At 37.5% G+C, this 24,335-nt stretch overlaps 1 long non-coding RNA gene across 1 annotated transcript in view; it reads left to right on the plus strand.

The window, feature by feature from the left end:
- The window catches only part of LOC107986195 (uncharacterized), a 496,338-nt gene that overhangs the window by 322,428 nt on the left and 149,575 nt on the right, over positions 1 to 24,335 (plus strand). Inside the window, exon 3 of the long non-coding RNA XR_001741441.2 lies at positions 7,809 to 7,933. This is a non-coding gene — a long non-coding RNA (uncharacterized LOC107986195). The remainder of the gene's footprint in view (positions 1 to 7,808; positions 7,934 to 24,335) is intronic.

The following is a 24,335-nucleotide window of genomic DNA, read 5'->3' on the forward strand; positions in this document are numbered from 1 at the left end:
ATAATTTTTTAGTGATAGCATTGTGGTTTTTATGTCAGTCTGATTCAATAGTCATTGTTTTTGCACCTATAATGGCTGATTTAAAGGTTATATTGGGAGGATGGGGAATATCATATCTGTTTAATTATTATTTGTGGATGCTTACATTATTACTGTAATTTTAATTTGCAGTTTCTTTGTAAGAAAAATGTTAAGTATGTTGTAAGAGTTAGTTTAATCCAAAACTAGATAAGACTATCCAAATATCTACATAATCTGCAATATGTCACAAGATGTTGAAAATGAATGATGATGGATAGATGCCATAGCAAACACTTCCCCAGTGTGTAACTCCAAACTTTTGAAGGCTACTTTCCATAGCATCTATGTCTGATGCATAGGCCCAGTGAGGGTCTTAGTGTCAATCTGTATATAAAAATCAGCAATGGGTTAATGGATACAAGCATATAGCTAGATATAAGGAATAAGTCCTTATGTTCAACAGCAGAGTAGGGTGACTATAGAAATGTATTGTGTATTTCAAAATGGCTAGAAGAGAGATCTTAAAATATTTCCAACACATAGAAGGGATAAATACTTGAGGTGATGGATATGCCAAATACTCTGACTTGATCAATATACATTCTATACATGTAACAAAATATCTCACGTACCCCATAAATATGTATGAACATTATGTATCAATATTTACTTCTTATTTTTAATAAGAAATATAACTTAAAAAGATGTTCTATAAAAAGATGTCCAAATATTTTCTTCCCACACTCCAATAGATCATTTGCTCTTCTTCTGGGGGGTGTGTATGCCAGTTTGGAGACTCCTGAGTTAGAGGACATGAGTACCTCATATGTGAACACATTAGTGAAAACATCACATAAGAGCTTAGCTTTAAATGATGAGTAGAAACTGGAGAAGAGCTGGCTTTCAGAAGAGAGCAAATGGCATATGTACTGCCATGAAGGCATGGAAGTACAGGGTATGCTTGAGAATTAATGAAATGTTCGTTACACTGGTGCATCAAAGGAGAATTGTGGGGAATTGGAGCCAGAATAAAGAGGTATTGAGTATTTTACCTAAGGTAAGAATTTTGAACTTTATAAATTAAGCTTTAGAAGGCATTATATATATTTTCAACTGGGAGGTGGTATTTTATCAAGAGAAGCAATTTCCTTTATTTTAACTTCCCTTGTCATCTCTTAGAAAGTGACTGTTCACTCATCTGCATTCACTTCTCTCTACAGCTTGTTATTGGAAATACTAGTCCAGTAGTAGATAGTGACTGGGATGAGTTGGAGGGGAATTAAATAAATTAAGATGCATGTTACATTACCAGTGAATGGTTTAAGTCAGAGTTAATGAAGCCTTAATGAAGAGTGATGGTGATAGAAATGAAGGCAAAATTGAAGACTGTTTAGTGAAGGAAGAGGAAAACCACATCTCTGTTCACAAAGTTCTAGCCTGGGTAAGTAGGAAAATGGGGATCAAGAGAAATGGAAACACCAGGAGAAGGGCAGATTTGAAGGAATCATCGATGAGTGGCTAATATGTAGCTAAAGGCACTCAAAATAAATACATAGAGAAAGCATTAAAGAAATTAATAAGATTAATGAGAGAAACAGGTTAAAAGAAGATCAGAGACAACGTTAGGGAAACACCTTCTAATATTTTATCTTTTTTTTGGGGAGAGAGAGCGTCTGGCTCTGTCGCCCAGGCTGGAGTAAGTGGTGTGATCTCGGCTCATTGCAACCTCCACCTCCAGACCTCAAGCTATCCTTCCACCTCAGCCTCCCAAATAGCTGGGATTACAGGTGTGGGCCACCATGCCTGGCTATTGTGTGTGTGTGTGTTTATTTTTGGTAGAGATAGGGTTTTGCCATGTTTCACGGGCTGGTTTCAAATTCCTGAGCTCAAGCAACCCACCCACCTCGGCCTCCCAAAGTGCTGGGATTAGAGGTGTGAGCCCACTATGCCCGGACCCTAGTGCTTTAACCTAGCATTTCCAGTTGCATTTGAGACTGAGGAATCTTAACTCTTATCCTCTTGATTCAACTACTAATGTCTGGTGATTGTCACACTTGACAGATGCTTTTCTATCAGTTAAATAAAGTTAATATGTTTTCATATCAGGTTTTAATGATCTTAGGTGAACTAGTTTAAAAAACTTCTATACTAAAACAGCTTAGGGAGAAAGGGGGCCCAAAAGAACTAAGCACACTTTTAGAAAATAACATAAAACAACAAAAGGCAGAAAAAAAAATAGAAGTTCCTGAACACAGAACTACATTTGAAATGGAAATAATCTGGACTATCAAGAAGGTTATATTTAAAGCTACCAACTCAAGTGATTTTGACAATATAAGCCAATAAAATGTAATAAATATGTAGTTTAATTTTTTTTCTTACTGAATTGTCCAGTTTGATGGATTTGGTGGATTGTTTTGCTGTCATTAAAAATACAACATCCAAGGCAGATTTTAAAAGAAATACGGAGAATTGGTGAAGTGTTTAGGATTAACAAAAAAAATCCAAGATCAGGTCTTGGGAAATAATTTGAGGGTGGGGGAAAAGAATACAGGAAAATATTTCTGGAAATTGGTAACAATATTATACTTAGTGGAAGGAGAAAGATAGTAATGAATGAGCATGCATCTTCAAAGTAAAAAAAGAGCAACCTGAATTACAATTTTGTTTTGCTTTTTAAACTTGGACAGATTACTGAGTACTCAAGGAAAAAAACCTTGTCAAACTCACTCATTATGACCATGAAAAGTAGGTCGGGAAGACTTGGTGCACTTTATTTCAATTTTAACACATTTTAAGTTATATTCTACATATTAAGGAATCAGATTACAGCCATCCTGTGGAGGCTCGCTGGTTAGGGGACCAAATGTGGAGTGTGATAATGAAAATATAGGTCAACTTGGAGGAGGAGTGGTGTAGACACATTGGTCAATAATTCAGGAAAAAAAAAAAAGAAGTATACTGGTTAAGTTTGCTGCAAATGATGGCATAGATCTTAGAGCATATGATTAGCATTATTAAAATAGATTTCTTACAAACGTAGACAAATTGTATGAGATTCCCAGAGATTCTCAGTTAAAAGTATCAAGTACTTGGGACAGGACAATACTTACTTAAAGGGAATCCTTACTCTGTAATCTTCCTTAAATTAGCTGGTGAATATTTTAGCAGTGATTATCAAGCAATGAATCCAGAAGGTAGCCCTGTAAGAGATGGGAAGCATCACACTGGGAGGCAGGAATAGAAGTGCAGAAATCAAGAACCATGAGGCCATTTTCCAGTTATGTCTATGGCTAGCCAGAAATGCCCTGGGCTCCATTTTAAAGCTTTGGATTTTACACAAAAGTATTTAGAGGACTTAGAAAAAAATTTAGGAGTGAAAGTAAAAATAATAATAAAAAAAAGATCTATGAGTATAGGTTAAAAAAAACTGATTATTCAGCTAAGCAAGAGAGGCCTGGGTTATTTAATTATTGATGATAAGCAACTAATCTCCATTTACACAGCAAGGGTCAAAAGAAAAAGAAATGGGCCCAAACTGCAGTGTGTGGGATTTAGATTAAATATAGGGAAGAACTGGCTAAGAAGGATGAATTACTATGGAAGGACATGGAATTTCCTATGTGGGAGGTCTTTCAAAATAGTCTCTCAATTGTAAAGGCTAATTTCAAAATTAAATCCTGTCTGAATAGTAGGGCTAGAGATTGGTGAATTAGAAGGTGTAGGAGAGTAACATAAACACTAAAGAGACCTTATGATCTTAAAATATAACAATTATCTTGAAAATAATACAAGTTATGAAGTAGAATTAGAAAATCAGAGACAGCTAATATGTGTTGTTACTTATTCTTATTTTATCTTTCTTCATCCATTAATCTGGGCAGCAGTTTGGGCATTTGCCAAGCAAGTTATAATTATCTATTGTTGAGATTTAAATCTCTTGATTATGTAACAAGTACCAAGAAAGACTGGATAGAGACGTTGGGAAATTTAGGCCGGGCGCGGTGGCTCACGCTTGTAATCCCAGCACTTTGGGAGGCCGAGGCGGGCGGATCACGAGGTCAGGAGATCGAGACCATCCTGGCTAACACGGTGAAACCCCGTCTCTACTAAAAATACAAAAAAAATTAGCCGGGCGTGATGGTGGGCGCCTGTAGTCCCAGCTACTCGGGAGGCTGAGGCAGGAGAATGGCGTGAACCCTGGAGGCGGAGCTTGCAGTGAGCCGAGATTGCGCCACTGCACTCCCGCCTGGGCCACAGAGCGAGACTCCATCTCAAAAAAAAAAAAAAAAAAAAAAAAAAGAGACGTTGGGAAATTTCTACTTTGAAGAACAGTAATAAAAACAGATTCCACTGTTCCTACAGTTTATCAGCTTAACAGTTTTTATTCATTGAGTAACTTCTAGATGCCCACTAACCAAACTCGATGCTGTGGGAACATAGAGGGAAATAGGACATGATTTCCAGCCTTTAAGAGTGTATGGTCTATATGGAATAATTTGATAAACACATGTGAAAAATTAGTATACAATATGAGACAGAATTATAGAATTATGTGATATGTGATATGGGCTATTTGCTGGAAGAGTTGGATAGCGGGGGTTTGGACAGGAGGTACCATAGAGGAGGTAGGTTTTAAAGGATGGAAAAGAACTAAAGAAGAGGAGTATGAGGAGCATATTTTTGGGAGGATAATATGAGCAAAGGGATAGAAGTGAGAATATATGTGCTTGAGTCATACTTTTGATACACTGGGGAGCGTTGTGAATTTAATCTTTTGGATCAATTCACAGTTGTTAATATGTCATGCAATGTCTTTACGATTTGCTAATATCTATAAACTTATCTCATCCTATCTTTTTGTACAACCATTATCTCATCCTATCTTTTTGTGCAACCACACTCCCTTTTCTTTGTCACAACCCTGCGTGTGTCTGTTTGAGTTCAAATTCTAGTTCTACCACTCCATAACTCTATGACTTTGAGTCTTGGTTACTTCATATATAAAATGGGGATAATAATAGGACCTGCCTCAAAGTGTTGTTGTGAAGATTAAATACCTTGATAGACATAAAGTGCTTGGAAGAGTTCCCAGTTCATTGTAAGGATCAATAAGATATCATCTGGGGCTGGGCACGGTGGCTCATGCTTGTAATCCTAGTGATTGGGAAACTTAGATGGGAGGATCACTTGATGCCAGGAGTTTGAGACCAGCCTGGGAACACAGTGAGACCCCACCTTTATAAAATATGTATATGTATATATATATATATATATATTTTTTTTTTTGAGACGGAGTCTCACTCTGTCGCCCAGGCTGGAGTGCAGTGGTGCGATCTTGGCTCACTGCAACCTCCGCATCCCAGGTTCAAATGACGCTCATCCTTCAGCCTCTTGAGTAGCTAGGATTACAGGTGTACACCACCACGCCCAGCTAATTTTGTATTTTTAGTAGAGATGGGGTTTCACGATGTTGACCAGGCTTGTCTCAAACTCCTAACCTCAAGTGATCTGCACACCTCGGGCTCCCAAAGTGCTAGGATTACAGGTGTGAGCCACCGTGCCCAGGCTTTATTCACTTTTGTATCTCAGTGTCCATGAGCCATCTATCAATTGTTGAATATGTAAGGAAATGAATGAATAGACAGTTGAAGAAGGATATAAACCTATGAATTTGTACATTATACTCTCTACCCATTTCCACTACAATTACTAATTACTACTACTACTAATTAATCATTATTAATACTAAAAAGCTTTATTATGACCAAAACATCTGTGGAATATGTAATAAAGGTGTACGGTTAGAAATTTAGTAATTTATTATAACTAGTCTCACTCAAGTAAGCTTTACAAAATGGGTTTGCATTCATATTTCAAAATTTGAGGGCTACCATTAGCCATATAATCTTAATAATCATTCTGTACTTTATAGATTCATTCATAATAATCAACACGAGATATATCACATAGTCTAGTTAGTTTTAATGTTTACTTTCTATTTTTTAACTTTTTCTTCTTAGATTCATTGGCAGTAAAGGTAGAGGGATATAGGGATAAGAATCTGGAGATATGGCAATTTATTTAATATTGCCAGATGCTCGTCTTTGAGGGTTTGGACTAAATGGCCTCTAAAATCCCATTCCCTGTTACTCAATATTCTCTGAGCTCAGTGGATCTATGATGTAGTTGGGATTACAATCTAGTTTTCCTAAAGGTAGACTAGTGGTCTTTTCATTAAAACCATATAGTTTTATTAGTCATGTGACTAGTCACTCTTTTTGTTTATTGACTAAACTATTTTTTCCGAGCAGAAGCTCTAATATGTAACAATGGCAACGGAGACTGTCAATATCTAAAACAAAAATAAAATAGCATGGACTAGGACATTTTATATGGAAATAACATATAAGCTATTAGACCCTATAAGCTATTAGTTAACAATAACCAGTAGTACTTGTTAGTTATCAGTGTAACAATTCAGAGCACTCTAGTGTGTAAAGTAACCACTTTTAGAAGCAAATTATTTTATTGTTACATTCATTTCATATTTAGATATGAAAGAAAACCAATAAATTTATTTCAGATAGAAAATCCAAGTATTAGAATATGTGTCCATTAAAAAAATCAAATATGCATTTTGTATTTGCTTTCCAGGGCTGGTTCTTTCTGAGGGAGAGGCACTTGAAGGCCATAATTGTGTTAGTGAAATAGCTGGAACACCACACAGTATTCCAGGCATCTAATGACCAAGTGGGTTAGCAGATCAATTACTAAAAAATCAACAGGCAGGGATGAAATTAGCCATGGCACATTCTGTCTGCTACATACTCTCATCTATTAATTGGATTGTTTAGTGACTGAACTGATCCATCATTTAGCAATTGGAGTTAATTAACATAGCTGGCCAGACTGTACTATGCTATGGTTAATTGAGACATACACATGACCCCAGCCGCCCTGGTTCAGAAAGTAATGGCAAAAATAAGATGATCAAGGCACTAATCTGGTAAAATGATTAAACACCAAAATATCCATCTGTTTTGCCATCCATATTCTGAGAAAAATATTACCATTCCTGTTCTTTTCTACTATCATTTGTAAAGTTGGCATTATTTATTCCAGCAGTCTGTAAAACATACTTCCCTCCTTTCCTTATGATAACATCTCTATCTCTGGTGGTTGTAGAGAATACTGCAAGTATTCTGGTGGTATAACATAGTGGCCAAAAACTGTAGAGTTAAACAAACCTAGAAAAAGTCTCACCATTCACTTGCTGCATTAATGTTTTTGTTCTCTACAATGGAAGTTACGATATCCACTTCCTTAGGTTGCAGGGATTAGCAGGGATGCTGAAGGTGAAGGTCTCAGCACACAGAGAGTGAGGCAGGGTTACCTGCTCTTTGGTTAATTTAGCTCTTTGGGTTAAGTGGTGATGAATGAAGGAAACCAGAAATAGAAACAGACAGTCACTTTTCTTTCCATTATCATTTGATGGAAAGTTTTAACTCAACTTTTACTAGAATTCATTGTTGCCTGAACTGCAAAATGGTATCTGTACATGTGAGGCACTCCAGGAAATAAGTATGTATAGTATTGTTTAGAAGCAATAGAATTTATTTTCCTCATTCATTATCTAATGATCAGGCAGTATTAGTAAAAGGAAAAACAGCCAAAACAATAGCCAACTAAATAAAACACTGGTCCTAAGAGTCTTGTTACTTGAAATGTAGTTTATTTTAAAACCGATGTACATTGAATTAAATCATGTCCTAATCTTTTGACAGACTCGTTTATTGTGAAATAGAGAGTGTGAGATACACTGGATGCAGAGAAGGTCAAAACTGAATTGGAAGATTTTATCCAGTTCTGGCTTCTACAAGTGAGGGGGAGTAAAGACAACCCGTGGAAGGTAAAGTGATAAGACCCAAAGATGCCAAGAGGCTGGAGAGGGAAGCCTGGGAGGAAATACTAATGGGATTGTGATTAGAAAGCCTGGAGAGGAGTTGGGCCATAAAAATACTATAGCCATGAAAAGAGTTGAGATTCCATGTGCAGCAGGAAGGCAGCCTTTAGGGCCCAGAGGGCCAGGCCAGACCAAGAGGTGCTGGGATGGAGCCCTGCTTCTTCCTCTGGGGTCTTTAATTCTGCTCCTCTGAGGTGAAGAAGTCCCTTCCCACACATCCGTCTTTCCCTTCCCTTTCTTTTCTGTTTTCCCTTCCCCCTTTACTCCAGCATGTCTTGGTGGAAATATTGTAAGATTTGCAGCCAGAAGTTCTGAATGTGAGGTTTCAGCAGGTCATTGCTAGATGTATGAACTTAAGCCAGTTCTCTTGAGTTTCATTTTTAGAAAAAAATGAATACATGTTTTCTAATTTGTACAAGGAGGATAATAATACCTGGCTTATAGGGTTTCTGAGAGGGTAAAATAAAATAACAGATAAAACAACTTCTTTGTAACATGTAGAGTAAATATGGATGTGAGTTTTAATGTAATCAATGGATTTCCTCAGTCTTTACCTCTTTCCTCTCTCCCTTGGAATTCCAAGTAGCAGATGCTGGAAAATATAGATAGCAAAGTCTCACCTTTCTTTCTAAGGTAGCTTCTTTTTTTTTGAGTCGGAGTCTCCCTCTTTCGCCCAGGCTGGAGTGCAGTGGCGCCATCTCGGCTCACCGCAAGCTCCGCCTCCCGGGTTCACGCCATTCTCCTGCCTCAGCCTCCAGAGTAGCTGGGACTACAGGCGCCCGCCACCAAGCCCGGCTAATTTTTTGGATTTTTAGTAGAGATGGGGTTTCACCGTGTTAGCCAGGATGATCTCCATCTCCCGACCTCGTGATCTGCCTGCCTCGGCCTCCCAAAGTGCTGGGATTACAGGCGTGATCCACCGCGCCCGGCCTAAGGTAGCTTCTTATCTCTAAGAAAAAGGCTTCATGGTTGGGGACTGGATCGTAGGCTCTGCTAGGCTTCATGCCAGTCTTAAGATTTCGTGACAAATAAGCCTTCACATATTTCCACTGTGGGGTTGTTTATTGCTTTTTTTCACAGTCCAGAGCAGCCATTATCCTCTTCTAACTCTATACTGTGAGACTCTGGAAATTTTTAAAAGTATAAACTAAGGACGGGAACAATTTCAGAGGCGTGATTATACCGATGACGCTTGGGCAGTGAGCCCATTCCGGGTTTACCACCACCAAACCTTGTTCCACCTATGCAGCAGCCAATGTGGATTTAATCCTGCAGAGTTTGTGCCTTGGGGAAGAGGAGATCAAAGAAAGCCCACACCCAGGTCTCCCGCCATGAGGGCCATGGCCACGGTTTCCATGGTGAGCCCGAAGGAGACCCGCCCTCTGCTTCCTTGCTGTTTCAGTTGCATCACCTGAAAGACACAGGGCCAAGTCCTAGCCACACTCTCACTACTCATGCTTTTCTAAAATCACAATAAACGCAGACTTAGCTCTGACCACATAGCACGCTCCAACATTTCCTGGCCTGCCATGGACCACATTCCTTCACAGCGGGACTTATGATCTAATAAGAGACCACTGCAGATTTCTGCAGTTTCCTCGTGGTCAAAGCCAGAGTTTCACAGGAACCTAAAGAATCACATTGACTTTGTCCTTGATCTATTTCTGTCTGAAAGGACTGTATTCATTTCCTAGGGCTGTCATAACAAAGCACCACAAACTGGATGGCAATAAATGTATTGTCTCCTAGTTCTGGAAGTGAGAATTCCAAGATCAAGGTGTTGGTGGAGTTGTTTCTTCTGAGGCTTGTGGCCTGTGAGGGAGAAATCAGTCTGTTCTATTCACCTTTCTAAGCTTTGGGGGATTGCTAGAATCTCTGGCATCTGGCTCCTGTTCCATCATCTTGGTCTGTATCTCCAGTTCACATGGCATCCTCCCTGTGCATGTGTCTGTGTCCAAATTTTTGCTTGTTATAAGGACACCAGTTTTATTGGATTAGGGGCCCACTCTATTCACTTATTACCTCTGCAACAACTCTATTTTCAAATAAGGTCACATTCTCAATTATGGATGGTTAGGATTTCAACAGTTAAACTTTAGGAACATAATTCAATCCATAACAGGGATAAAGTTCTTAAAATACCTTGGTTTAAATTGAGTGTTCAATACAAGCATGGTTGTGGGCATTCTTGACATTGCTTAAAGATGTAAATTAGGAATGGTCCCTGTCTACTACGAATTTACCTCAGATAAGACAGAGGATTTAGAGTTCCTTCTGCCTACCTATTTATTTTTATAGCAGCCATGGAGGCTTCATGGGAGAAATATAATTCAATAGGACTCAAGAGAATAGTTTGGAAAGGCAGAGGTGAGGAGAGGGAGAATGAGCATACAGTATGTGAGAATAAGTTTGGAGGTAGGGATATGGAAGAGGTCTTTAGAATCTGAAGAGCTGGGCTTTTTGGAGAACAGTGGAAGCAAATATAGAAAAGTAGATCAGGGTCCTCGGATGGAGGATTCCCATCACGGCTTGACTGAGTTCAGATCCTTGAGATATATGTCAGGGGATCAGAAGCTTTGCTGGCCTCCAGTGATCTACATATACCTCAAGTCCCCTTATTTTCTTGCCTGTACCTCATTCTCATTTTGATGGTTTCCACCCCCTAGATTCCCTTTTTCTTAAAAAGGCAAACATTTAAGCAATCTGAGGATTGGGACGGGGTTTTACAGATTTGTCTCTGCACTTCTGTGCCTTACTATGCAGCATAATTTGAAAAAAATATTACTAACAAATTCATATGTATAATATAGAATTATGGATTTGACCAGGATCAGATAAAATTACGGAAAGGACTGTCTCAGAACCTGAGGTATAATATTGTATTTTATCTTTACAGATTTCTAAGAAAGAGATATTGGTATTCCTAATTTACAGATAAAAAATTTGAAGTTCAGGTAAAGTAATATACCTAAGATTACAGCTAATAAGTGTAAGAGTTGAAATCTGAACCTAGATCTGCTTGACAATAAAGTCTATGCTTTTTTATTCCCTAATATTATTATCCTGGAGAACAGAAAATATGGAAATCTAATAGTACCAACACAAAGTAAAAGCCTGTGGTCAAATCCTAGGTCGGAAATGATAAAAGGTAGCAAAAATAGAAAGTTTGGGATCTGGGAAACCCTGAATCCAGGCCATTCAATATAGATTGGACTTTCCTTAAAGACCATGACCCAATTACATCTTTATTTAAACTTGGCCTTCCATGATCACTGTTGACCCAAGGGAAGAACTTTCCTACTCGGAAATGCACATTGAGTGAGAGTGACGTCTCCATTGTCTCCAACAATCGCATGATATGGAGTGGTCCTCATGTGCTTTCATCCTTGTTTGTCTGTTGCTGCTCCCTACCTTCTTGTCCCATTCATATGAATCCCTTAAGAGATACTGCATTTTCTTTTAGTTATGTGCACATTATTTTTGATGTGCATATATAGTCCACATGTTATATAGCACAAAGTGATTTAGCAGAAATGCAGGTCAACTGCTGCCTCTAGCATGATACTCAATGATGGTAGCAGGAAGTGGGTCCTGAATTATGCAATGAGCTTTGAACAAAAGTTGCTTTTTCCTTCTAAAGGATGTTCAAAATGTCTTTTCATTTTCAAAATTTGCCAAACATTGACTTAACAAGGAGAATGCAGCCACTATAGAAACTGAACAAGGAAAAGTCAGGTATGAGAAAGCCACCATATCACATGCTATTTACATTAAATAGAAGACAGGTAACTAGCATTTTACAAAGCACACTAGAAAAGCCTACAGAACTCAGCAGATCCATTCTCACTATTCGTAGACCCTACATGGAGCAAACATGTAACCAAGAAACAGATGCTCAGAGAAAACATCGAGTTATAAAGAAAAGAGAATATACACATGCAATTCTAAAATAAAGGAAGGAAAAATGGAGAAATTGCTTTTAAAGAGCTGTAACTGTTGTACAGTTTCATTCAGACAGGCTCCAAAGCTGATAGGCAGAGCACTTTGCTGAACCTGTGAAGTCTGAACTGGGAATCTGGCCACGACAGGGAAATTGAGTCGTGGATATACTTAGTTTGGGTTTAGTGAAATTTATTTCTGTAATTCACTATCATTTCAATGAGTATTTATGTTATTGCTGTCTATCCTGGTGTAGGGAAAGCCTGTATTCAGAAATACAGTGACCTGCTCTGTGCTGACCCACGCAGCACTGTGACACAGAGGCACAGGTGTATCAGGATATAAATATGTTCTCTAGTGGTGAAAACGTGGAGCCTGTAGTGGAGAAGAAATAAAGTGTTAAATGTAACAAAGTCGGGAGAGCAAGCTGAGGAAAATGTTTTCATATTTCATAGTTTATATAAGAAGTAACCTGCATGACCCCGCATTCCCACTTATGGGTATATATCAAAAATAAAATTGAGAGCAGGATCTCAAAGAAGTATTTGCACACCCATGTTCATAGTAGCATTATTCACAATCATTGCCAAGAGGTGAAAGCAACCTGTGTGTTCATTGACAAACAAATGGAAGTAGAAAATGTGTTATATATACAACAGAATATTATTCAGCCTTAAAAAGGGAGGAAATTCTGACACATGCTACAGTAGAAATGAACGTTGAAGGCATTGTGTTAAGTGAAATAAGCCGATCACAAAAGGACAAATGCTATATGATTCTACTGCTATGAGGCATCCAGCAGTCAAATTCATAGAAACAGAAAGGATGGAGACTACAAGGGGCCAGGGGAAGGGAAAAATTGGGAGTTGTTTAATGGGTAGAGAGTTTCAGATCTGCAGTATGAAAAAGTCCTGGCCATCTCTTTCACAACAGTGTGAATATACTGAACACTAGCAAACTGTACACTTAAAAATGTTACACTTAAGATGGTAAATTGACCGGGAGTGGTGGCTCAAGCCTGTAATCCTAGCACTTTGAGGGGCCGAGGCAGGCAGATCACCTTGGGTCAGGGGTTTGAGACCAGCCTGGCCAACATGGCAAAACACCGTCTCTACTAAAAATACAAAAATTAGCCGGGCATGGTGGAACATGCCTGTAATCACAGCTACTCGGGAGGCTAAGGCAGGAGAATCACTTGAATCCAGGAGGCGAAGGTTGCAGTGAGCCGAGATTGTACCACTGCACTCCAGCCTGGGCCACAGAGTGAGACTCTGTCTCAAAAAAAAAAAAAAAAAAGGTAAATTTTATGTTATGTGTTTTTTACCACAATAAAAAGGCAGGGAGAGTCAAAATAGAATGTTTGCCAAATTTGATAACAACACAAAAACACATATGACAGTACTAATAATAACTTGTGAAGCTGAAAGAAACTTTCTTAAGTATCATTAATTAAAACAAACAAATCTTGGTCTATCATGCCAAAGGTAATGCTGAATTATTTTTCTATTCTCTCAATAAAAATTACATTATAAAATTGTTGTCCTAAGGAGTGGTGATTTAAAAGGAAGATGCCAAAATATATAGTTAAAAAAAGATTTATAGAACTGTGTCAATTAATAAAAACATTGTTATTTTTCTGGATTTTGTGATGCTCATCTTATTTTTTAACCTTTAGAAACATTTTTATATTAGCTTTTCCATTTCTGAATAAGTAATCATTTTGCACCTAATTTTAGGTTCATGATTTTGTATTCTTTTTCTTAAAGAAAGTCTCCCTAGGATAAGTTTCAAGCCCTGTGAAACATGGATTTTTTTCCTGAATTTGAGCAATAAATATAATAGCTGCTAATGTTAAAGATATCCAAAAAATAGGCTTTTAAATGTAGTCCTTGTAAATATTAATACCATCAGAAGCAACATCAGGGAAAGGATCCTCTGAATTGCCAATCCAGCCTCACTTTTTCAGAAGTCTATCTCAGATTTTAAGAATATATAAATTTGGGTGTAAGTGCTTTTCAGGCATCTATTAGTCCTGATGCCGTTTCTCTCAACCTGGAAATGGAAATATGGACAAACATACAACAATGCTGAAAAGTAGAAGTAAAAAAGGTCATTCTATTGCCATAATTTATGAAGAATTGCCATGAATTATGAGGCCATTAAAGTTTCCACTCTGGGTAGTAGTCTATACATGGTTTTCTTTCTCTAATAGAGCTCATTTGGGGGTCTCAAAGAAGACTGAATTATTTCAGCCCTACTCATGTTGAGCCTTTCACTGCAAGTTCCTGTGTCTGTTCCAAACATTAAAATGGGCAGCACAGTTGTCTTTGTAGCAGTTTGCTAAGGCACCATTCCCCATTTCCTCTCACCATCAGCAGCTCTTTCTATACAGATTTTAGAATGAAAAAGCAAAGTGAAGATAGAGCACAAAATAGGCAGTTGTAAAAAGAGAATGGGAGTGACCTATTATGTCATGAAGGAAAAAAGCTGTAAATGGAGGAAGATCTGGAAAAGCCCTGATAGGAAGACAAATTGCAAATTAGATTATCACACATTTCAATTACTCCAAAAGAGGCAGGATTAGCGAATCAAAGACCTGCATATCCATACTGCGTAATGGCTTAGAAGACGCAGGAATGGAGCTAGAAGTTATATACATAATCTTGCCCTTCAGATGAGTATGTGAGACTGGGAATCTGCTCATCAAAAAATGGATAGTACATGGAGCTGGGGAAATTTAGAGAGTAAATGAGTCATTAAGAAAAAAACATCAAAACGAAATTAGACAGGCACAGTGGTGTGTACCTGTAAGTCCTAGCTACTCAGGAGGCTGAAGTGGGAGAATTGTTCGAGCCCAGGAGTTTGAAAATAGCCTGGGCAACATAGAAAGACTCTGTCTCTAAACATTAAAAAGAAATTAAGAGTGGAATACCCTCTTGAAGATTTGTTAGAAGAATAGAACCCAGAAAGTGAATTACTGCAGAGAACAGAAGAAAAATTTAATAAAACAGCCAGTCTTCATAATTTACAAGAAGATAAAATTTTTATGAAACAAGAGCAAAAACTACCCAGAAAAGTAGTACTATGAAGATAAACATTGGAGGTGGGATTAATTTTTTTTAAAGAACACCAATAACTAATAATGTAATGACAGAATTAAAATATGCCAGAAAAGAGAAGAATTAACATTATGGTAAACTAAATGAGTAATGTCAAGGGTAAATGTGATAAGTGTTCCCAGAGTGCAGAGACATAGGACAAAAACATGACAGCAAAGAGAGAGAATAGTTAGTGAAGACCGAGAACAAGTATCTAACATAAAAACTACATGTGAACCTAGAGGAAAATGCCAAACAATTGGAACAGATGCAGTAAACAAAGACAAATTGAAAAATAGTGTCTGGACTGAAAAAAAAAAAAAAAAAAAAAAGACCTGAGCATGTGGATTGATAAAGTTCAGCATGTTCTAGATAAAATTATGAAAAGAGCTTATGCCAAGCTATCTCTTGGCTAATCTTTTGAATAATCAGTGACATCAGTCAGTATCTCTACACGAAATACATGAAGACTCAAATGAGGATAAGCTGAGGAGAGTTTGTTTACAGAGAGATTTATTGCAAAGGGGTGAATGGGATGTTAAGAGAACCGTAAGAGATAAGGCAAAAACCCAGGGCTGGCAGCAGCAGGCTGCCACCCACTGTAGATCTAAGGGGAAGACAGGTTATCCCATCCAACATGTAACAATGGTACATAGAGCAGGCCACCTTGAGATGATCAGTGACTTTCTGTCAAGGAACATACCAACTTTAGGCAACCTCACAGAGGAAAAAAATTACTAATTTTGCAGTAAAAAATTACTCTCCTTTCTCTTCCAAGATTTGGCCCCATAGTTCAAATCTAACAGAAAGCCACAGGGCATGGGGTCTCAATGGTACAAGTCACTCAGGCCAGCCCCTCAGGGCAGAAAACAGGATAGAGAAGGGACACAGAGGGACAGATGGAAGATACTTGGCACAGCATTGCAAACAAAACACATAATAAACCCAACGTTCAAACATTTGACAATAGAGGGAATAAAATAAAGGAAGAAGAAAGAAATAATCAGACTTAAGAAGTACATTAACATAAATGATTATCAATATAATTTTTGTCTTTTTTTTTTTTTTTTTTTCCTTTTTCTGGAGAACGGGGTCTTGCTATATTGCCCAGGCAGGTCTCGAACTCCTGGGCTCAAGCTATCCTCCTGCCTCTTAGCCTCCCTGAGAGCTGGGATTACAGGTGTGAGCCACCGCACCCGGCCATATCAATATAATTTTTAAAAATGCATGAGCCTTAATAGAAAATATGTATAAATGTCGAATGATTTGAATTATAATAGTCCTCGTTTCAAGCTAAAGATGAGAGCAGGATAGGTGGGTAAAATAATATCTGGTCTCACAAGACATAAAAGAAAGATAAAAGACATTATTTCATTTCATCCCAATAGTTAGAAAAAGTTATATTTGTGTGTTTGAGACACATAAAGAGTAATACAGATACAAAGTATATTTTTCAAATGACAGGACAAAAATAAAATTGCATATAGCAAAAGGTAGAGATTTTTAAAAAGGTAAAATAAGAGGCTGGGCGTGGTGGCTCATGCCTGTAATCCCAGCACTTTGGGAGCACCTGAGGTCGGGAGTTTGAGACCAGCCTAACCAACATGGAGAAACCCTGTCTCTACTAAAAATACAAAATTAGCCAGGTGTGGTGGCACATGCCTGTAAACCCAGCTACTCAGGAGGCTGAGGCAGGAGAATCTCTTGAACCCAGGAAGCGGAGGTTGTAGTGAGCCCAGATCGCGCCATTGCACTCCAGCCTAAGCAAGAAGAGTGAAACTCCGTCTCAAAAAAAAAAGGTAAAATAAGAAAATTAAAGTAAGCCTAAAAATATTGTTAACACCAAATTACTGTATATTTTCTAATCTGCATAGTAAAAGCTGAAAACACTCAGAATATGTTAAAAATATTAATAGTATGCTACTTTGACAAATTAAAATACAAAGTAAATATAAATTATATTATTTACTGTGATTTATAATAATGGTTCTCAAACGTTTTAATCTCAGGATCTCTTTTTACCTCTTAAAAATTATTGAGGATGCCAAAGAGCTTTTATTTATGTGGATTATATCTATGGATATGAATTGTGTTACACATTAAAACTAAATTTTTCTTTTGGTCAGGTTGATATATCTGAATACAGTAAAATTCACCCTTTATGTATAAAATTATGTGAATTTTGGCAAATCTATACAGTTGTGTAAATGTCACCACAATGAAAATACAGAATGTTTCTATGTTCCTTTGAGATCAATTGTCTCTCTCCACTTTTAGCCCTGTTTTGTGGCTATGTGGTTTTGTATTTTCCAAATATTATATAAATAAAATCATACTCTATGTAGCCTATGAAATCTGACTTATTTCACTTAGCATAATGCTTTTGAGATTCATCTATGTTGTTACAAGCTCTTTGGTTCAGTAGTTCGGTTCCTTCTATTGTGGAGCAATACTCAGTTATAGCTGCACCATGATTTTTTTATCCATTCACTGGTCAGTGGATATCTGGAGTTTTCCAGTTTTTGGTTATTACAAATAAACCTACTATGAGCATTTGTATCCAGGGTTTTGTGGGACATACATTTTCATTTCTGTGGGTAAAGAACCAGGGGTGGGATTGTTGTGTCTTATGGTAAGTGTATGCTTAACTTTATAAGAAATTTTATAAGAAGCAATTCCAAAGTGATTGAACAATTTTGCAGCTTCACCAGCAATGTATGAGAATTCCACTTACTTAGCATTAGCATTCTCATAGCACTTAATATCGTCAGTTTAAAAAATATTTTAGCTATTCTAATAGATGTGTAGTATTATCTTATTGTGGTTTTAATTTGTATTTTCCTAAAGACTAATGATGTTGAGCATATTTTTATGTGCTTATTTTCTGTGAGTATCTCTTCTTTGGTGATATATTATGTCTATTCAAATCTTTTGCCCATTGGTTGTTTGTTTTCTTACTATTAAATCTCGATAGTTCTTTATATCTCCTGGATACCAGTCTTTTATTAGATATAGGTTTTGTAAATATTTTCTACTCTGTGGCTTGTTGTTTCTTTCTCTTTTTTCTTTTAACGGTATATTTCAGAGACATTTTAAAATTTTGATGAAGTCCATGTTATCAATTTTTAATTTTATGGTTCATGCTTTTGTATTCTACTTAAGAAATCTTTGCCTAACCCAAGGTCACAAGGACTTTCTCCTATGTTTTCTTCTAGAAGTTTTATAAAATCTGAGAAATTTTTAAAACAGAAAAAAAAATACTCAAGCACACATTCTGTAAGCCATCAGAGTGTTGTTGTCATCACATGTCATGAAGATTGGAAAGTCCTTCTGTACACTCCTGAGAAAATGAGAGTAAATAAGGCAAATAATATCTCAGAATTATTCTGACAATATTGACCTCATGAGCTTTCAAAAAGGGTTTCAGAGACTCTGAGGAGTCCCTAGACTACATCTGAGAATCATAGATCTAAAATGTAAAGATAATCACACAGAAATTATGAGTGGTAGCATTATATTTCAAATGAAGTAAAATTAAGAGCAATACATTAAAGATGACAAAAGTACTTTCATATTAATAAACTTTCCTTTACCCAATGAAATTATAATAGCTATAAGTTTTATATACCAAATAGCACAGTTTCTTAATATATTTGGGAAGTCTAGAAATACATGGGTAAAGTAAAGTCATTGCAATTGTATTTGAAGATCTTATTCTACCTCTTTATTTCTTTAGGAGATAAAAAGGTCAATAATATAGACATAAAATTTTCAGTCTTTTAAAGAGAAGGTATTATTTGGACTATGTGAAGTTTTATGTCCTGTACACAAAATTACAACTTTTTAAAAAAGCATTTATTGAACATTTAGAAACATTGCTATGTTAGATTTCAGTGTAGAAATTGGTACATGTTCATTCATTCATTCTTTGAATAAATGCAATAAAATTAGAAATTAGCCATATAAATGGGATGAATAAACAAAACAAAAATTACAGGACATTCTTCTAAATAATTCTTAAATCATAAAATAATCAAATACTATATGGATAAACAATATAGACTATAACAAATAAGAGAATATTGTATGCCAAAATTTATAAAATGCTGCCAAAATCTTACTCAAAGGCAAACCCAGAGCCTTAACTTTTATATTAATTAACTAGTAAAGATGACAAAGAAATAAACTGTGCAGCATTCAAAAAAGAAAAGAATAACAATAGATAAGCTTAAGTAGTGATAATTGAATAATAATAACAGTAAAGTCATAGAAAGGAAATATAACTCTGAAAAATCTAATGAAGAAAAAGGGAGAAAATGCAAAAAAAATTGTAAATAAAAGTGAAATATCAAGAAATGACAAAGATATTTTTAAAAAATATTAAGTATATAACATTTTCCTATTAATTTGACAATCTTAATGAGGTAGGTACTTTTTTTGAAAAAAGAACTTCCAAAAGTACATATGAAGAATGGAAAATCAAAAAATATTAATAACCATAAAAGAAATTTAAAAACAAATAAAACCATTATCACCAAAAATTACTGAGACTAGTAGATTTCATAGGAGCATTCTTTCAAACTTTCAGAAAAAAAAATTATATGCTGTACTTTTAAGTCACCTTAGAGAACCAGAAAATACAAATTAATTTTGTGAAGCTAGCATAAAACATGTGCCAAACACAAAACAAAAAGAAAACTATATGTTTCTTTTCAAATTGTTAAATGGAACATGTGACTGTCCTGTGAGAGGTTAATAGTTATTCTATACAGATAGCATTCTGTATATTTAGCAAAATATATTTGATAAATCAGTGGTGAAATAAATCTTAATAGAGTTCATTAATACAGGATATCCTAGAATCTAGAAAATGCTAATATACATTATAAATCTCTATAATTTATGTGACCATGAGAACCTCTCCCATTATTTTTTTCTTTGCCCTGCTCTATATACCTATTAACCATGCACAATCTTTGTCTTTCAAGTGTTCCAGGCATTGGTATGTTCTAGTGTTCTCAGCTACTAGAGAGACTGTCAGAGACCAATACCCCTAACATAGATGTTGAGATCCTAAATGAAGGAGATCAAACTGACACCGGCAGGGTGTTCACAGAATCATTCATCATCATCTTGTAGATTTTATCCTAAGAATGCAAGGTTGATTTACTATTGTGAAACATTAATAGAAATATTTTAGCAGGTTAGATTTAAAATATTATAATTTAAACTGATGGCAAAATGAGCTCTGTATTAATCTGTTTTCATGCTGCTGATAAAGAAGTACCTGAGACTGGGAAGAAAAAGAGGTTTAATTGGACTTAAACCTCTCTTCCACATGGCTGGAGGGGCCTCGGAATCATGGCGGGAGGCAAAAGGCACTTCTTACTTGGCAGCGGCAAGAAAAAATGAGGAAGATGCAAAAGCGGAAACCCCCGATAAAACCATCAGATCTCATGAAACTTACTACCACAAGAACAGTATGGGGGAAACTGCCCCAATGATTCAACTTATTTCTCACTGGGTCCCTCCCACAACACATGGGAATTATGGGAGTACAATTCGAGATGAGGTTTGGGGGTGAGGACACAGCCAAACCATATCATTCTACCCCTGGCCCCTCCAAATCTCATGTCCTCACATTTAAACCAATCCTGCCTTCCCAACAGTCCCCCAAAGTCTTAACTCATTTCAGCATTAACTCAAAAGTCCACAGTCCAAAGTCTCATCTGAGAAATGGCAAGTCCTTTCTTCCTATGAGCCTGTAAAGTCAAAAACAAGTTAGTTACTTCCTAGATACAATGGGGGTACAGGCATTGGGTAAATTCGTTCATTCCAAATGGGAGAAATTGGCCAAAACAAAGGGGCTACAAGCCTCATACAAGCCCAAAATCCAGCAGGGTGGTCAAATCTTAAAGCTCCAAAATGATCTCCTTTGACACCATGTCTCGCATCTGGATCACGGTGATGCAAGAAGTGGATTCCCATGGTCTTGGGAAGCTCTGCCTCTCTGGCTTTGCAGGGTGCAGCCTCCCTCCAGGCTGCTTTCATGGGCTGGCATTGAGTGTCTGTGGCTTTTCCAGGTGCACAGTGCAAGCTGTCAGTGGATCTACCATTCTGGGGTCTGGAGGAAGGTGGCCCTTTTCTCACAGCTCCACTAGGCAGTACCCCAGTAGGGACTCTGTGTGCACATTTCCCTTCTGCACTGCCCTAGCAGAGGTTCTCCATGAGCACCCTACCCCTGCAACAAACTTCTGCCTGGGCATCCAGGCATTTCCGTACATCTTCTGAAATCTACGTGGAGGTTCCCAAACCTCAATTCTCGACTTCTGTGCACTGGCAGGCTCAATACCACGTGGAAGCTGCCAAGGCTTGGGACTTGCACCATCTGAAGCCACAGCCTGAGCTCTACTTTGGCCCCTCTCAGCCATGCATGGCTGGAACAGCTGGGATGCAGGGCACCAAGTCCCTAGGTTGCACACAGTTCGGGGACCGTGGACCGGGGCCAGGAAACCATTTTCTCCTAGGCCTCTGGGTGTGTGATGGAAGGGGCTGCCGCGAAGACCTCTGACATGCCCTGGTGACATTTTCCCCATTGTCTTGGGGATTAACTTTTGGCTCCTCTTTACTTATGCAAATTTCTGCAGCTGGCTTGAATTTCTCCTCAGAAAATTAGTTTTTCTTTTCTATCACATTGTCAGGCTGCGAATTTTCCAAACTTTTTTGTTCTGTTTCCCTTTTAAAACTGAATGCTTTTGACAGCACCAAAATCACCTCTTGAATGCTTTGCTGCTTAGAAATTTTTTCTGCCAGATACCCTAAATCATCTCTTTCAAGTTCAAAGTTCTGCAAATCTCTAGGGCAGGGGCAAAATGCCACCAGTCTCTTTGCTAAAACGTAACAACAGTCATCTTTGCTCCAGTTCCCAAAAAGTTCCTCATTTACATCTGAGACCACCTCAACCTGGACCTTATTGTTCATATCACTATCAGCATTTTTGTCAAAGCCATTCAACAAGTCTCTAGGAACTTCCAAACTTTCCCACATTTTCCTGTCTTCTTCTGAGTCCTCCAAACATTCCAACCTCTGCCTCTTACACACTTCCAAAGTTGCTTCCATATTTTCGGGTATCATCTCAGCAACACCCCTCTCTACTGGTACCAATTTACTCTATTAGTCCGTTTTCACACTGCTGATAAAGAAATACCTGAGACTGGGAAGAAAAAGAGGTTTAGTTGGACTTACAGTTGAACATGGCTGGGGAGGCCTCAGAATCACGGTGGGAGGTGAAAGGTGCTTATTACTTGGCACCGGCAAGAGAAAACGAGGAAGATGCAAAAGCAGAAACCCCTGATAAAACCATCAGATCTCGTGAGATCTCACTACCATGAGGACATTATGGGGGAAACTGCCCCCATGATTCAAATTATCTCCCACAACATGTGGGAATTATGGGAGTACAATTCAAAATGAGATTTGGGTGGGGACACAGAGCCAAATCATATCAGGCTCTAGTAACACAAAAGAGAGGAATATATTCCTTTATGAAATTGGCAAAGCAAAGAGAGCTTTGTTAGAAGCTGACGAGTTTGCTGGATGGTGGACTATCTCAGATCTTGCTGGGGGCAATGTCACTTAGCACAATCTGGGGGACAATATGGTGACACGTGTATTTAATATATAGCAAATTCTTTAAAATTTTGCTATCTAACGATGCCTTAGATTCTAAGAAGAATGATGAGTCCAGGAGAAAGGGAGCACGCACAAGAAGAGAGGAGAGGGCTGGATAATAGTGTCTTTAATTTATAAATTTGCTCCCGTTCTTTGGAATAATCCATCAAGCCATCCTCTGCCCTCCCTTCCCTGACTCTCACTCCCATAGCCAGGAGACTTCAGTGTTAGGAAAATGAAATTAAGTTTCCAAGTAAAAAATCATTACTGATCCCCAAGTAAGTGATGTGTAAATAGTTTTCTCTGATCATGGGTTAAAATGTTACTGAGGTTCTCAAGTCCTATCAGGAAGACAATCTTTGGCTCAGTCAGCTGGGCTGAAGTAGCCAGGTTTTCCCTGAACAGTAATAACTTGAATTGCTCTATTACCCAGGTTCCTGAGAACTGAAAGTGCTCACAGGAGAGTCCAGTTTACCAGCAACTTCCTTGAAAGTCCAGAATCACAACCAAAAGACACAAATATGGTTCTTCAGTCAGAACTTTCCTCCTTTGGGATTCTTCTTTTTCTTTTTTCACATTCATAATACGTACTAGACCTTTGGGATTCTTAATGCTAATGTGTTTTTGAAAATTTTAAAATGCATTTTGTTGTTAGTTACTCCCTGAGTCCAGAGTGTCTGCAGAGCTACAATGCAATGATATCTAAGGGGTGGGTTTTTGTTTCCCCTGCCGTGGTCTTGTAGCCGCAGTGTCATGCTAATGAATCTCCTGCAGGATCACAAAGAACACAGAATGCCAGCAGTGGAAGGGCCTAAATGTCTTTTACAACTATTTGTTATCTTCAAGGTCAGCAAGGATGCACCTGGTAAACACAGATGCTGTAACCTAAATCCCGCCTGCTCACAAAGACTTGTCTCTGATTAGGCTATTTGAATAAAACATTACTTGGAATCTCACATGATACACTCTCGTAGGCTTGTATTTTAAAAATCTGGGTTATGTAGGATATGCTGTATTTTAAAAGATTCAGTGTAGTTTACCAATTGCATATTTTACCTCACTTTTTACAGACTTCTAATAGCCACAGCAGTGGGACTACTGAGGAATATTTCATTTAGATTCCATATAATGAGAATGTAGATACATGTAAAAGTACCAAAAAGACTGAGCTTGTGTGTGTGTGTGTGTGTGTGTGTGTGTGTGTGTGTGTACATGCGCATGTATGTGTTTTAACTATGGGTGTATTGCCATGGCAACATCTGGAGATGGAATAGAGCAATTAACAAACTTTGACAAACTTTTTAACCAAACCTTTGTCATTTTGAGATGTACTAGGATGTGTGCCTACTTGTATTTCTCTTCCTCCTCCTTTCACCACAATTTTAGTTCTTGATGTTCATACCAAAGGATAGTCAATTAAATTCTAAACAACACTCCAAATCGACTTTGAGACTGTTATATAGCAATTATGATTAATTTTTCAACTGGCCTTCATTTAAAAGCCTAGAGCAAAATTTTTTTATCTCATGAGAAAGAATAAGTGAGTGGCGGAAGATTTCTGCTGCAAAGACTTTATTAAAGTGAAATATTATGAAGCACATGATTTAAAGAATGTAATTTTATACTGCCCGTATAATTTA

The sequence above is a fragment of the Homo sapiens genome, chromosome 4 (genome assembly GCF_000001405.40).
Source record: "Homo sapiens chromosome 4, GRCh38.p14 Primary Assembly".
Taxonomy (NCBI): Eukaryota; Metazoa; Chordata; class Mammalia; order Primates; family Hominidae; genus Homo; species Homo sapiens.